General features: G+C 41.6%; 1 protein-coding gene across 37 annotated transcripts in view, besides 2 other annotated features; it reads right to left on the reverse strand.

The window, feature by feature from the left end:
* The window catches only part of NCOA2 (nuclear receptor coactivator 2), a 346,665-nt gene that overhangs the window by 276,608 nt on the left and 53,356 nt on the right, over positions 1-16,701 (reverse strand). For 3 of the 37 annotated variants that reach the window (XM_047421260.1, XM_047421245.1, XM_017012964.3), the window contains exon 1: positions 15,774-16,206. The exons of 33 other annotated variants lie outside the window; for them this stretch is intronic. The gene's annotated coding sequence lies outside the window, so the exon portion shown is untranslated. Of the gene's footprint in view, positions 1-15,773; positions 16,207-16,701 lie in introns of those variants that run through there. One more of the 37 variants, XM_047421232.1, reaches the window with a different exon arrangement.
* Positions 4,040-4,407: a silencer, noted in NCBI's record as "fragment chr8:71302664-71303031 (GRCh37/hg19 assembly coordinates)". NCBI's record gives its function as "represses an EF-1alpha promoter that drives an FKBP-Casp9 reporter gene in an ReSE screen in K562 erythroleukemia cells {active_cell/tissue: K562}" and the evidence as "EXISTENCE:reporter gene assay evidence [ECO:0000049][PMID:32094911]".
* Positions 16,016-16,675: a silencer, noted in NCBI's record as "silent region_19268". NCBI's record gives its function as "represses an Ori minimal core promoter by ATAC-STARR-seq in GM12878 lymphoblastoid cells {active_cell/tissue: GM12878}" and the evidence as "EXISTENCE:reporter gene assay evidence [ECO:0000049][PMID:35858748]".

A 16,701-nucleotide genomic window follows, 5' to 3' on the forward strand; every position in this document is an offset into this window, starting at 1 on the left:
TTAATCTACAAAATGGATCATCTGGGGAAGCAGCATCATTCTAGTGCTTTCAGGGAGAACTGTGTTCATTATTACTTATAAGTGGCTTTCAGGGCTAACTCCCTGGAAACGCTTGTGGTAAAATAAACAGTCCAAAAAATACATGTCATCGTCATTTAATCAAGAGTTCTACACACTGTATATGAGAAGAAACAATAGAGAGGGGCCATACTTTTTCTTTATTAAAAAAGATAATTCTAGAATGTAAAGAAAAATTTTTAAAAAATTAACTAATGCCGTTCAATCTTCCTTAGTGATAACCAGAGAATCCAATCCCAGAAGACTTCTTTAAAATCATCTAATTCATTCTGGCTTCATGAATAACAAAAATCTTCTATTTGATGCTCAGCAGCAACTCAAGTGTTATTATCCCCATCCAACAAAAAGGAAATTTGGGACTCAGAAATAAAGCACTTGTCCAATGCAACAGGTCCATCCAGAGGCAGTATACTTAACCATTATTAAACTTCCTTTTTTAATATTTTTAGTTTTTTTTTAAGAGATGGGAGTCTGACTCTGTCGCCCAGGCTAGAGTGCAGTGGCATGATCATGGCTTACTGCAAGCTCAAACTCCTGGACTCATGCAATTCTCCCACCTCAGCCTCCCAAGTAGCTGGGTTAATTTTTCTTTTATTTTTGGTAGAGATGGGGTCTCGCTTTAACGCCCGGTCTGGTAAACTTTCTTTTAAATCATACAAATGTCCTCTAGTCAAGAAAAAAGCCTATAAACTTTTTGAAAAATTATTTACCTACTGTAGACAGAGTCTTGCTATGTTGTCAGGCTGCAGTACAGTGGCTATTCATATAACACACTGTAGCCTCAAACTCCTGGGCTCAAGCAGTCCTCCTGACTCAGCCTCCTGAGTAGCTGGGGCTTTGGGTATGCACCACCCTGCCATGTTGGCAATATCAGAAAGTTCTTCTAAATGTCTGTCTAAAATCCCTTTAGATATAGTTTAAGAATGCTCTCTTTTGTAAACTAAAGAACATCTGGTCATTATATCTCATATTGAATCACTTCATACGTCTCAGAAATAATAAATCCTCTTTCCTCTCTTATTTTAAAGGAAAGGACAGTAACGCTTCAACTTTCTACAAATTAGCCTGTGACAGACAGATGGTGGCTCCCAACACGACTGCAATCTCTTATCCCACATGCTCCTCTTATAATGTGTCTTCCAAGTACAGCTGGAATCAATGCTTCCTCCCTGCTGAATTCCTCTGAAGTACAGCTGGAATCAAGGCTTCCTCTCTGATGAATCTGGATGGGGGATAGAGGGGGAGGGCGGGGGGGCAGCTTGGGACTAAGGGCATATGTGATCCTATGTAACTTTTGAGGTTAAGTCATAAAGGGAACACAGCTTCCTTGGAATTTTCATCCACTGAACTTCTGCCGCCATGCTGTGAGGAAGTCCAAGCAGGTACAAGGAGAGTCCAATTTGTAGATATTCTAGCCTGCAACCTAGCCTACATCCCAGCCAACAGCCAGTAGGAAAGGCCAGGCATGCAGGTGAGCAAGGCTTCAGCTGATTCCAGCTCCCCAGTCATAGACTCAGCCCTGGCTTTGCGTCTTCCTAGCTGAGGTGCCAGACATCATGGGGCAGATAAGCTGTGTCAATCATACCTTTTATGATTCTGAGCCACAACATTTGTGAGCATAACGCCACCAAGTTTGGGATGGTATATAATGCAGCAATAGTAAATAGAACTCCCTGATTCAGAACTCAAGGAAAAAACTGAAAAGGAAGCAAAGAATTTAAGGCTGCTTTCCCTATATTCAAAATAAATATTCCACATTCTGTGCACTAAAGATCACTAGCTTTATTGATAAGTCTCTCAAATTATCATGCAGCTCTTATTAAAGGTATATGTAAAATGAGGAAAAATAGAAACATACTATAATATTTTCTGTCTTCATCCTATGCATAGGCCTCTTTAGGATTCCTTTTCCCTGATGAAATCTCATCTAGGCCGGTCTTTAAGGCTCAAATCAAACACTACAGCAGCTCTGAGGCCTTCCTTCACCTTGCAAAATGCAGTTTGCTCACGTAACATATCTGTATAGCCCTCCACTCTAATACAATTTTTTATTCTAATGTATATATTATACAATAATTATTTGTCTACATGGCTTTTGCCTTCCCTAAGCGTAAGGTCTTCGAGGATAGGAACATTTCTTTTTTAATCTTTGTATACTAGTGTCTGCAATATACGAGTCACTCATTAAATTTTTGCTGAATAAACAAACAAACCTGGTTATCTGATTTCCAAATCCACAGCAGATAAAACACAGAATATTAGAAAAGAGGAAATGAACTGTTCTTTTTAAAAAGCACACACGCACACACACACACGCAGACAGAAAGAGGTCTCAGGGAACAAAGATGAAACTAAGTAAAAGCCTAGAATTCTTTAGTGTAGGGTCTACAGTTTACAATTACTTAGTGGAGAGAGACAGGTCAGTATCTTAAAAGATCTCATAGATCTCAGTGAATTTTTGCACATTTCAAGTAAGTTTAGTAAAGAGGGAAATACTACTCATTTTATAAGTATTTCTCCTAAGTGACTACTTTTAAAATTGGAGGTGCCTTTTAAAGGAATAAAAAACAGAACCAAGCAAGAGATCTCATTTTCTGGGGGTTTTATATAGTTACTGTTTTACAATAATATCACTGTCTTTATACTATTTTTGTTGTTCCCCCTTGTTTTTAATGTCCCTGTTTTCGTTACACTTCAGACTATTTAAGTATTTTCCTCCCAACTGACCCAAGCTACTATCACATCTGTTTGGGTTGTAGCAGAGCCACTCAGTGTGCAACTCCAATATTTTGGCAAACTCCCTCCAACAGGCCAAATTTTTTTTTTTTTTGAGACGCAGTTTCGCTCTTATTGCCCAGACTGGAGTGCAATGGCACCATCTCAGCTCACCGCAACCTCCGCCTCTGGGGTTCAAGCGATTCTCCTGCCTCAGCCTCCGGAGTAGCTGGGATTACAGGCATGCGCCACCACACCTGGCTAATTTTGAATCTTTAGTAGAGATGAGGGTTCTCCATGTTGGTCAGGCTGGTCTCGAACTCCCGACCTCAGGTGATCTGCCCGCCCCAGCCTCCCAAAGTGCTGGGATTACAGGCATGAGCCACCATGCCTGGCCAACGCCAACATTTTTTTAAAAGCAGCACAATACATACAGAATGACAAGAACAAGGAGAATGTCATCAAGTATGTCTGTAAGACATTTCAGGAAAACTTTTTTTTAGACGGCGGAGTTTTGCTCTTGTTGCCCAGGCTGGAGTGCAATGGTGCAATCTCAGCTCACTGCAACCTCTGCCTCCCAGGTTCATGCGATTCTCCTGCCTCAGCCTCCCGAGTAGCTGGGATTACAGGTGCCCACCGCACCCAGCTCATTTTTGTATTTTCAGTAGAGATGGGGTTTCACCATGTTGGGTGGGCTGGTCTCGAACTCCTGACCTCAGGTGATCTGCCCACCTCGGCCTCCCAAAGTGCTGGGATTACAGCCATGAGCCACCATATCCGGCCATTTCAGGAAAATGTTTACAAAAAATAAAAATAAAAATCCGAGTCACATATTATTTCAAGTTCATAGTCACCTTAAAATTGCCCAGATTTGTTAAACAAAAAAGGTCTATGACCAGTGTCACTTTTCTTTCCATTCTTTTTTCTATCTTCTAAGTATATGACTTCCCAGTTTTAAATATTAATTCCACAAAATAATATCTGCATTATTTTTAAGCAGCATTTTCTATCCTGGGGTTGGGAGATGTTGTCTAGGTCTCTATGTCCCATTCAGAAAAGTGCAGGGCCTGATTCAAGGCCATTAGCCTAACAATGACTCTAAGAGGACTTACTTTGAGTCAGAGGAGATAACTTCATTGTGTTTTGCTTTTTCCAAAGCTTAAAAGTTTCAAGCCAAGTGTTTTTCTGGAGTTATTCAAATGCTTGTGATAATTCTTATTGTTTTCTTGGGTGACAAAATCTTTCCTGCCCACTACTCTTACACCAAGGTTTTTCTATCTACAATTAAGAATATAATTATGAGGCCAGGCACAGTGCCTCACACCTATAATCCCAGCATTTTGGGAGGCCAAGGCACAAGGATCACTTGAGCCCAGTCCAAGACCAGCCTGGGCAACATAGCAAGCCCTATCTCTATAGAGAAAAAAAAAAAAAATTAGTCGGACATAGTGGCGCACACCTGTGGTCCCAGCTACTCAGGAGGCAGAGGTGAGAGGATCACTTGAGCCCAGGAGTTTGAGGCTGCAGTGAGCTATGATCCGTGCCACTGTACCCCAGCCTGGGCTACAGAGCAAGACCCTGTCTCTAAAACAACAATAATAAATAAATACATACATACATACATACACACACACATACATATGAAGAATATTACTACTACTACTTCTCCACTGGATTAGGTGAGTGAGACTGACCAGGTACCTCTCTCTGGTGTCTACTACATACCTATGAATGATTTTTACATTTATGGTCTATTTCTCAAAGTGAGAATGAACCCCTATGCACACTGTGATCCAAGAGGGAAGAGAGGGCTCTACCACACTTCTAATAAGATCCTAAAGTAGGAAAGAGAAAAGGTAAGGTTAGGTATAAAGTAAAGAAGATGGAAATAATTATAGGACAGGAAAAGTCAACAGGGAGAACAGATGAAGACATTGCAAAGAAAAACAGAAGAGAGAAACAGAAACTTCCAAATTCAAAGTTATGAAGTAGTCAAGTATTCAAGAAACTGAAGTTACTATTGCTCCGAAAAGCTCCAGGAAATTTTCGTCTCCATAATGTTACTCCAAATAAGTGTTTGAATAAAAGCTTTCTATTTAGCCAAGGGGGCTGTAAAATTAAGTGTCTCAATTTCTATCCCCCTCCTTAATCTGAGCCTAAAACAGAAATCTACTTCCCAGGAGGGAAAAAATATCTCAAGTTGTTAGACGGTAAATGTCTCATGGTCAGATACTACCTCTTCATTTGCATCTCCTTATGATCTGCCAGTAGAAAGTTTGTCTAGGCCCAGACCTAGAGACTTCAGAAGGAACATGCCATGAAAAGGTCCAAGGATGCCATCATTTCAAGCAATAAGCTCTCAAAGGTTGGCTGTGCTTCTTCAGCCCTGATCAAACTCAGTAACACATTAACAACTTAATTTCCTAACAGTTCTGGAGAAACTGAAGTCTGACACCCCAAAATTGATAGAACAATTGCATCCTCTTCAGGACAACTGGCTTAGACTCTAAAAAGTCTAAACAAACAAAACAAACCACGGGAACTGGTCCACCTTAAAAGAGATGAAAGGGAGAGAACAAAATGCAATGAGTAAACTTGATTAGATCCTCGTTTGAAAAACAAAGCTGTAACAGCCATTTTGGGGACAGCTTGAAAAACTGAAATAGAGCTGATATTAGATGATATTAGTTCTCTTAGGTTTAATAATGGTACTGTGTGTGTGGTTACCTAAGATAATGCCTTGATTTTAAGACAATGCACTTTATGGATGAAGAATCATATCTGTAATTTACTTTGAAATGGTTTATCCAATATACATACTCACAACCACACCGTGGAGAGGGTAGGAGGAGAAATTAAAAACATTTATAGCAAAATTTATACAGGGATTCACTGTACTATTTTTCAACCTGTGTGTAGGAAATTTTTCATAAAGAAAGTTGGGACCAAAGAAATCCTTAGTCCTCCCTAAACCCCAATACTTTTCTAGCAGGTTTTTTTGTCAGGAACTGAAAACAAGAACACACTGAAATAACAGTATTTAGCCTCTCATTCTACCACATTATTAAAGGATCAGGGGAGCTAGGAGGGCAACAGGACACTGCACAAAGCGCCGCCCACTTTTCCATCTGAGTCGCACAGTGTTTCTACGATTTAACGTTCATTGGTTGGTGGCAGAAAATGAATAAATGACAGACAGATGGATAGCCTTCTGACTTATTCTGCAAATAAAAACATCCCACAAAATAAGAAATTATTATTAAAAGGAGAAATTTGGGAAGAACGTTGAGAACATTTTTACAAGTGTTGCCACAAGTATATATTAATGTGTGAACTGGAAGGTCTTTGCTCCTTGGATAGTTGTAGAATTTCATTATTTATCTATTAAGACATCAGCCCTTAAGTGATGCCTTCATTCTCTTTTTTTATCACTTCTTCAATGGAAATAGTTAAGTGCCAACCCTGGTATACTTTCTTTGTATTTGGTTTTGTTTTATTACCTTTTCAGAACTACTGAATTTCCCCAAGGTTTTCTTTACCTTTTCCTCCTCTATCCACTAAAAACTGATACTATTAATCCCTCTTCTCACTCCAGTGGCAAAATATTCTGCAGGGGAAAATTTAATAAGTCCAGGTGTGAAAAATGTCCAATTTTACTGAAGTGACAAAGCCAAAAATTTAATTCTTTATTGTTTCTGATTTGAAGGTTAGAGGACTGCCTTAAAGGAGTAAACATCTATGAAAACCTGTGGTAGTCCCAGAAAATGTGGGATTAAGCTCCCAGGGATACCTGAACCTCAAAAGGAAATAGGAAGGAGATGGGAAAGGGAAAACTCTCTTTACCCCTCGGTGGGAAGACATTGCCTCCCCTCACTCCTTCCAAGGGCCCTAGAGGTACACAAGCCCAGTGAAGACAGGGAACTCAGCCTCTGAAAACCACAAGCCCCAGAAAGCCTTCCCTTGCCTTAGGACTACCTACTCTTTATCTGATCTTGGGTGCAGATCCAAGATCACTTCTGTCCTAAGAAGGGGAAAACAATCCCCCAAATGCTCAGTCTGGTAACACAGAGGATGAGGGCAGAAGAGCTTTGGGGCTTAGTGGTGCTTGAAGGGCACAGGCCATCAGCATTGCCATTCTGTTCCACAATTAAGGATTCGGATTAAACGGCTCTCTCTATACATGAGCTCCTGGTGGGATATCCTGAATTGTACAATTGTAGTGCAAGTGAGCATCTAGGGCCTCCACCTGCTGAGACTTGTCCCATCCTCTATCTACCTACCAAAGGCTCCCTCTTTTCCTCTCTTCTTCCCTCCCCACCAAAGGTCAGCAGCTGGCCCCCAACATCCTCCACCCCCACCCATACACACAGTGAGAGGAGGCAGGGAACAGCTGAGGCCTCTCCTAGTGACTCCCAGTTCATGACGCCTGCAAGAGTCTCAGATCACCCTGAAACCCACATGTAGGGCCAGGCCAGGTGTGCCCAGGCCCAGTTCCTTCCTGCCCAAGCCTTTGCTTCCCTGGAGCCTAAAATCTGGGCTCCCCTTGTCTCCTGGTTCTCTTCTCCGCTAAATGTGTTTTCTTAAAGTGAAAATACTTAATACTAGAAATGAGATAATAAACGATCGTGAGAATGCTGCTATTGATTGCATGAGTGTCCTTTAACCAGGAAATAATGCTCCAGTTTTGTTTTCCAATGCCCTTCAACGTCCAGGCATTTTGTTGACTTCTATTGTTGTTGTTCACTGTCAGTAAGTTCAGTCAGCGAATATGTCATTTTTTGGTATTACATGTAATAGCTTAGAATATTCCATTCTATTAGGATCGTTAATTGATTGTACAACCCTTTGCTTAAAATAAAAAGTAGCACAGTATAAGGAAAAGATAGTCATGTGGTTTCCCATTTCCTTCACTAGGTTTCATGACGTACTGCCTATTTAGAAAAGAGTACAGTGGTGCTCAAATATAATAAAATAACATGTTTTTGTTTCTGAGACAGAGTTTCACTCTTGTTGCCCAGGCTGGAGTGCGATGGCGCAATCTTGGCTCACCACAACCTCCGCCTCCTGGGTTCAAGCAATTCTCCTGCCTCAGCCTCCCAAGCAGCTGGGATTACAGGTGCCCGCCACCATGCCCGGCTAATTTTGTATTTTTAACTGAGATGGGGTTTCTCCATGTTGGTCAGGCTGGTCTCCAACTCCTGACCTCAGGTGATCCGCCCACCTCGGCCTCCCAAAGTGCTGGGATTACACGCGTGAGTCACCGCGCCTGGCCAAAATAACATGTTGAAATGAAATAAATATTTTTACATCACACTTGTATGAAAAAGCTTTAAGGAATCAAAACATTAATATTACTTAAAACAGTAACAAGAACACCACACAAAATAAGTCTCAAAATAGAATTACGGAAGTTGAAAATATATTGAGAAACTCCAAAGAGGCAGGCATTCTTCAAGTTTTAGCAATTTGACTACAGTTTTCACCAATCTTAAATTGTCTTAATATTTTCAGCTAACACCATTTTGATGGCTTTAATCACCATTTTCATGACATCTAACACTGTAGGGTTTATAACAATATCCTTAAACAGGGAAAAAATAAAATACAGATATAAAAGCTAAGGAATGTAATACTCGATCCTACTACAATAGAAGCTCAGCCCCAGTCTTCTGAACCACAATGTTGTCCAGCAACTAACTCCAACAACAAATCAGCCAATACCTCACCACTCTTGGGTTAAGCGATCTTAACACAGGCACAACATAACTGCTTTCTTAACAAACAGCTGACTTCTTCACTAAGTGTTTTTGGCAGAGTAAATCTGTTTGGTAAAGGGGAAACTGTAGATCATGATCAGACATGATCTACATACATGAAATCCTTAATGATAGTAACAGACTTCCCCCGTAATCTTGATTGTATTCTTTTCACTACCACTTATATTTAATCTTCAACTTGAAGAAAAAATTAAAGTCAGGGAAGAAGAAAGATAAAAGGAGGTAGAGGAGAAAGATGTGCAAAGGTTCATACCCAAAGTGAAGTGGTCAGAAGTTTGAATCATTATTTATCATTCCACCCTGATGTCAAAGCACTGCGTAGTAAGTGGTCAGCTACTGGAGTCTGGTCTTAATGCCAGGCACACCCTATGCTACATCCAGAACAGGCTGCTGGCACAAGATGGCAGATGCAGGACAGCAGAACCGCCTCAAGCACCGGCAAGCCCCCAATGCCTGTCTCCATAACTACAACCTGCTTCTGTAATTTCCAGAAATGCTGTAATATTAGGTTAAATTTGTAGAAATTCATATACTCCCGACATTCAATTCTACTACGGAATTTCCGTATTCCTTATTTAGGAATCTAAAAACATTTCGACAATAACTGAAAGCTTTTCCTTTTTAAGCATATTAACAGTACAATTAGAAATTTTAAGATAAGTTAATATTAAATATTCTGACAAATGCTACTACAATACCAAAGACAAGGGAAATTGTTTCATATTTAAATCATGTACTGATTTTATAAGCAGGAATGATCTGCTAGTAAAGACAATCCTCATTTAGACGGGGACTTCAATGGGCAGAGATCAGTCAGCACCAACAGGAACTACCAGAACTAACACTCTCCAAGTTAAGCCTTGAAAGGTTTTGGGTCATATTTCATATGGACACACTAAATGAATAATAGAAAATACCGTGCATTATATTCTCGTCGATGACAACAGGTCTTCAGTCTCAGCAGCTGGAACACTGTAAGCAATGCATGCTGATCCTATATGTGCAGGTGAAAGAGTTCCCTGAAAGCTCTCCGCGCTCCGTGCAAACAATTGAGCAGACAGAAGAATTCCACAAATAGCAGAGCAGAAGTCAGATGACTGAATATATTATCAGCCTTCTTTTTGGGACTACAATACCTCAACACCTAGTCATCCATGCTACATGATTACAAAACATCTGCAAAACATGCATCACACAATCTGCGCACAACAGTTAAACAATACTAGAATTAAATGTTTTAAGGGCATAAGAAGCCAAATACCTGTATCAGCATTCTATCCTTTCTAAGCCTATATCCTCTATAGTGCTCTGTCAATCTATGTTCTACCTATCCCCCACAATCAAGTTTTCTTGAGCTTTATTTTCTGAGCTTTTTATTGTGAGAACAACAGGCAACCTGAATATGCTCTTGCAAAATACACTCCCTACTCTTTTCCTTTTCACTAGCAGAGAATTACTGATCTATGTTACTTCAATAAAGCACTGGGTAAGAGAGCTAACAAGAACAGGGTTCTACCTCTCAATGCTACAGTAAGAAACATACAAGAGTACTGTACGGTCATCTTTGCCCTGCACTTGGTTTTCAGTAAGCACTCAATAAATGTTAACTATTTTACTTCACCCATATAATTCTTATTTCCTGAAAATTAAAAGAAAAAATCTATAATTTCAAGAATAGTTAAAAACTGAGCTGATGACTAAAAAAGCTAGAGACTATTCATGGGTCTTAAAATAAATAACCTCTGTGCAGGTATAAGCCCTCCTTAAGGCAACAGTCTGGAAGATGCCTCCTGATACAATTTGCAGGACTGGAACTATTCAAATCTATTCATCCTTCTTACGGACTTAACAAGTAGACTGAGCCTTATAATGTCCCACAAACATTTGCTTTATCAGATTCCTAAAAGAAAGACTTTTTCAGATTCAACCATTCCCTCTGATGTTTATTATTTATTTCCCCCACTTAGTGGCAAAGTTAATTTTTCCTCGCCAAAGTTTTGCTCACAGGCACAGGACTTAAACTCACTTTAAGCTTCAGCCTCCTTCTGGAAAATGGAGGTAACCTCTATTTTATAGGGTTGTGGCAAGAATTAAAGAATGAAGCACACATCAAAAAAGCCTGTATCAGGTTCCTGGCACTCAATGATAGCTGCTATTATCATTTATGTTATCATTGTTACTCTTCTAATACAGACCTTTTAGTCAAGAGCAAGAATGGGCCAGGTGCAATAGCTCATGCCTGTAATCTTAGCACTCTGTGAGGCTGAGGCAGGCAGGAGGTCAGGAGTTCAGGACCAGCCTGGCCAACATGGTGAAACCTCATCTCTACCAAAAAATACAAAAATTATCTGGGAGTGGTGACATGTGACGGCAGTCCCAACTACTCAGGAGGCTTAGGTGAGAGAATCGCTTGAACCCGGGAGGCAGAGGTTGCAGTGAGCTGAGATCACACCACTGCACTCCAACCTGGGTAACAGAGTGAGACCCTGTCTCAAAAAAAGGAAAAAAAAAAAAAAAAAGAGCAAGAACAAGCTACATCTAGAAAAACTGACAACCATAGCAGAATACTTGCACAAGGCTGCACTCAGGAGCATTCCATCCTTTAGAAACCTAGGTAGTTAAGGCCCAAAATGAGTAGTCCTAAAGCAGCAACAATACACAGGCAACGCCTATCACCTTCGCCCAACTAAAGAGTGCCATCCTTACCATACACCACACAGGACTCAAGGACAGAGAGCACAAAACATGATTCCAGAGGAAATAAAACAAAAAGAATTATAAATATTCATACCTTCATTACATGAAATCTATTCGGTTGTAAGCTAATCAGTTAAGGGGACATTTTACAATATTTTTTATTATAAACATTTCAACCCCATTTTCAGGGAAAAGACAACCCAAACCCAAATCAAAGCACAATGTGCTGACATTATATAATTAAAATTACATACACACAAAAAGAACAGATCTTTAGTACTAAAGCAAATTGAAATTAAGGCATATATGTCCCCTCCCACCTCCCCAACCAAAAAAAGTGATCACCCACTCTATGTTCCCCCTTTAATTACTGGCTCTGTAATGGATGGTTTATACTATCAAAGTACACTGAAAAGGCCAGGACACAGTACTCATCAAACGACTAAACGATAAAATGAATGAAGCAATAGTAAAGTCAGACAAGAAGGCAAACACAAGGTCCAAAAAGCCCAAAATGATGGCCAGGTACGGTGGCTAATGCTTTTAATCCCAGCACTTTGGGAAGCCAAGGGGAGAGGATCGCCTGAGCCCAGGAGTTTAAGTCCAGCCTGGGGCAACATCGCAAGCCTCATCTCTACAAAAAATATCAAAAATTAGCTAGGCGTGGAGACACACACCTGTAGTCCCAACTACTTGGGAGGCTGGGTCAGGAGGATCACTTGAGCCTAGGAGGTCAAGGCTATACAGTGAGCTGTGATCATGTCACTGCACTCCAGCCTGGATGACAGAGCGAGACCATATCTCAAAATAATAATAATAATAACAACAACAGCAAGACCAAAGTAAGATTTAAGTTGGCCAGGGGAACTCAAACAATTCGGAACTGGCTGCCTACAAAGCATAAATTCTGCCAGAATTAACAGGCTAATTTCAATTCTCCACGTTATCTGTCAGCTGACGCCTAGTCAAAGTAAAGATGTTTTCTTTTTCCTTTAGAACATTTAACCAGTTGCGAGTAACTTCTACCTATATGATTCTGTGTCCAAAGCCTCAAAAACAGCTATGTAAAACACCACCATAGGTTCCCTTGTCATTTAATTCTTCTCTAGAAATTTCCAACCAGAGAACCAACTGAAAATTATCCTGGAATCAACATTTCCACAATTGCATTATGTCATCACAGCCATGGGGACCCAGAAATGTGGTCATTGATCAACATTTCATAGAGTAAACACATAAAATCTTTGCCCTAAAAGCTAACAGTATTAGGATCTACCTACAGACCACCTAGTCTTTTAATTTCAGTTGCCTTCATAGTTTATCCTTAAGATTTCCACTCCTTTTCATAATGTTTTACCACAGCTAAGAGAACTACACCAGCTTCTAAAATACCCACAAAAGTCACATTCGTGATCACCTCTATCTAGAAATTAGCATCTAGAATCCATAAAGATGTGTTTTCTTTATGATGTCTGAATTGAAGGTCTGCAACATTAAAATTGTATTTCATAGCTTTTCCAGCCATTACTTGTAATAGACTTTAGAGAGTAATATGACATATTCTTTTTACAGCTTGCAATTCATAAAGCCCTACTAGAAGCCTTTAAAAACAAAAAAGGAAAAACACAAACACCTAGAACACAAACACTTAGAACCTTTTTTGTTTGTTTAGAAAAGTAAGGCATAGAGAGGTAAAATTAGCCTTAAATATGAAAGGGTACAAAAAAACTGAAGGTTTTGTTCCATTTTCCCTTAAATGGCTTTCATTTTTGGTATGAACTATAGTCTTATTCTTATACTATGGAAAAAGATCCTGATTTGTTGCTGATTTTATGATTTGCTGCAATAAAAGACCAATACCTTAAAGCAGTGACTTATTTTCTCCCTCCTATTCTCTTAATCTAAAATCAATAAAGCATGTAATAACATACATTACTAAACAAAACTACATACGCAAAATACTAAAGTTAGTAATTTCTTAAATAGCAGTTTTTTCATAACAATAAATAAGCATTAACTTGGCTTTTAAATATAACTTCGATCATGACACAATAATGGCCAAAATATCAAATGAGGGCACATGCTGTGCATTTCAGAAAAATTGTTTAAAGAGACCATCCCCTTTTGTATTTTCCTTTACTATCCAATATCCTAAAGAGTGCTTAAAGAATTGCTTTTCAACTCAATACAACACAAACAATTTTTCCTAAGAAATCCAAGCTGTCAACTTATGGGTCACATTTCAACCTTATGTAATTTGAAACAGCTACGGTACTGAATCCTTAAATACAGGGCATATAATGGAAGGACTGCTCACAGATCCTTGATGTTACTGAAGCTTGGAAAGCTTTAATAAGATACAACTATAAATAAAGACAACTAAGGAGCATTACCCCTTTATCCACAGCCCAAATCCCCCTCCAAGCCTTACATTTTATATTTCCAATAAAATGCTCTTCTAACACTAAGCCACTCATCTAAATTATATTTAACCAATGAAGGGTTAAAATCCAAAACATATTAACTACTCAAAACATAATAAATCCGTAATTGGTGAGCTCCTTTTCTACCCTCCTGCTTCAGTATACTGACATCTAAAAGTCAAAGAACTCCTCTGTTTAAGACTGAAATTCCCAGGAGGAAGGAAGCTCAGATCCAGTCTGAGAGCACACAATGGAATCACAGCTGACGATGCACATCTTTTTCTAGATGTCTCCATATGCTTGAGAGGTTTTTTTCCCCCCAAGCCAGCCATTAGGAGACTTGGTTCTCTCTGCCACCAAGAATCTTACCACATTTTCAAGGATTGTTGCAAAGAATTAAGTAAAATAATGTGTTGCTCTTCAGCATACAAAAGAGAGAAGGGCATATGTCAGAGTGCCCATAAGTAACTAAATTAACAAATGGTGGGGGGTTTTGAATGTTGTCAAATTTTGAATGTTGTTTTTAATACTCCTTACCTCTCTGTCAGTCTAAGTGTTTGGTTTACCTTCTCTGTTTTTACTATTTTATTACAAAAAACATCTCAAGAGCCACAGCAAAATGCAATTAATTCTTGTCTACATGCACCCAAAATGATCCTGAATTGGGAATTCTCATGGTAAATTTGAAAACACTATATTACAACAGAACACATTTGTAAGATTTGGCAAATACTGTTCCCTAGAACTGCAGTCCCCTTCGATTCTTTCTTAGCAACCCAAGATTAATAAAAGCTTGACTTATAGAAAAGATACACATTTTCCACATAAGATACCTAAAAGAAAACACTCCCAAAATTAAATTCATGGGATACTTATGACAAAAATCAATGAATTCATTCTTAATCTAACACTTTTCATTCTTTGAGCTCCCAAAGATTCTACAAATTCCAGGTGAGAAAGGGAGCATTACTTCTGTCAGTGTGCCTAACCTCACCAACAAAGAACAGGAACACACACACACATACACACACACACACGCGCACACACACATGCTTTGTAGCAGCTGCTTTCTTTTTAAAAGACTGCTATTCCTGCAGAGCAACCTGTGATCTTTACAGAGAATCAAAGACCTCTGTTCCTAAAAGTCAAGAGTTGAGAAAGTCACTTGACTGAACGCGCAATAAACAGTTAAAACCAAAGATGTCTCCAAACCTTGTATAAACCAGAAAAGTACCCACACACTGTACAATTCAGCAGTGTTTAAGAAAATTAAAATTATTTTTAAGAATCTTTTGTGTGGGAGTAATCTGGCAAACTACATTTTACTCAGACTTTTTCCTGTAGACAAATATTCTTTGATTAGCTTTGCTCCTTAAATACCCACACTTAATGTTTCAATCAGTGATGCTTTAGTTCCCAACTTCATTTTGTTTGCAAAAAGAAAAAAAAATGCATACCATAAACCACAACTTTTTTTTTTAATGACATCCCCAATGCCGAAGTTTCAAGTACACTTTGGGAACTGGAGCTCTAATTAAACAAGAAACCAGTGAAGCCATTATGAACAATGATGCTTTCTACTACCAATAATCAGTTGACGTGATACTGCTCCCATGCCTTCATTCTCAGGGTTCCCTTTCAAATTTCATTGTCCCCATTCTGGCATAGCTGAGTGAAACCGAGATAAGAGGTAAACGGGTAACTTCTGTCTTCTGTGACCCTTAGCATGTAAACCGGACGCTGAGGTCCAGGACATGATCACTACAGCATATGCCATTTTAGAAACCGGCCTCGGTGAGTTACTGCCACATCCTAAAGTGGCTTTAGACTTCGTCGTGTCTAAGACAACGTCTATTTCGGTACGAAAGACATACAGGACCTCGAGTGCCTCGGCAGCCTCTGCGGGTCGGAGCCCCTATAAGTGACACAACCCCAGAAATCAAGGAGCGGGTGACTCGGGGATGGACAAGAGTAGCTGGCTCTCAGCGTCTCCATGACTCCCCCGCCCCGCATGCAACTCTGCTCTAACTGGTCAGGAGAAACCCCGCCCCCTTCCTTCCTCCGGTCCGCACGATTGGCTCACCGACACCCGGCAGGTCAGCTCCCTGCCTTCGATTGGCTCACTGCCCCATCAGTCAGACGCACCGAGATTCGGGTCGGTGGGAGGGGAAGGCGTCGGAGGAGGTGGAGAGGGAGTGGGATTAGAGGACGAGGTGGCGGAGGAAGGTGTTCAGGCTCGGTCTCTGGTTTGGGAAAGTTTCCCCTACCAGTGACGGACCCAGAACGCGGGAGGCCCAGTCCAGCTCCGGGCCAGCGGAAGGGGGCTCCAGTCCCCGATTCCCGCCCCTCGGTCCCGCAGGCCCCGGAAACCACTAGAGGGAGGGGAAGAGGGAGGGGCCATCTAACCAGGGACCGACCCACCCCCGGTCTCGGAAGAGGCGCCTCTGGGACTCCCCCGAGGGGAGGAGGCGGGGAGCGCAGCCGGCAGCGACGACCCCGGCCCCCTCCCCCAGCACCCCCCAGGGGCCCGAGAGGGCCGGGTCCCCGTGCCCGGGGCGTGACCGTCGCGAGGCGGCCACAGGGCCCCTCCCGCTTCCCGCCTGGGGCCCCGAGGGCCTGTCCCTTCAGGGGCGGAGAGAAGGGGGCGAGAAAAGGGGGCGCTGGCGAGCCAACCCGGAACCTCCCGGTCCGCCTCCCGCCCCCGGCCCCGGCCCCAGCGCGCCTCCTGCATACACGCCCGCACCCAGAAAGTTCAGTCAGGGGCGAGCCCGGCTCGGCGCCGCCGGGGCCCGGCCCCCGGCTCCCCGCCCCCACCACGGCCCGGCCTGCTCGGCCCCAGCGCGCCGCCCGCCCCGCCCGCCGCAGCTCCTTCCCGTCCGCCCGCGGTGCTCGGCGCCCCTCGCCCCCCACCCCCGGGGCTGACACGGGCCCGGGCCACCCGCCGGGCCGCGGCTCCCCTTCCCCGCCCCGCGCTGCAGCTCGCCGGCCGCCCCGACACCCCGCTTCACCTT

This window comes from Homo sapiens, chromosome 8 (genome assembly GCF_000001405.40).
Source record: "Homo sapiens chromosome 8, GRCh38.p14 Primary Assembly".
Lineage (NCBI taxonomy): Eukaryota > Metazoa > Chordata > Mammalia > Primates > Hominidae > Homo > Homo sapiens.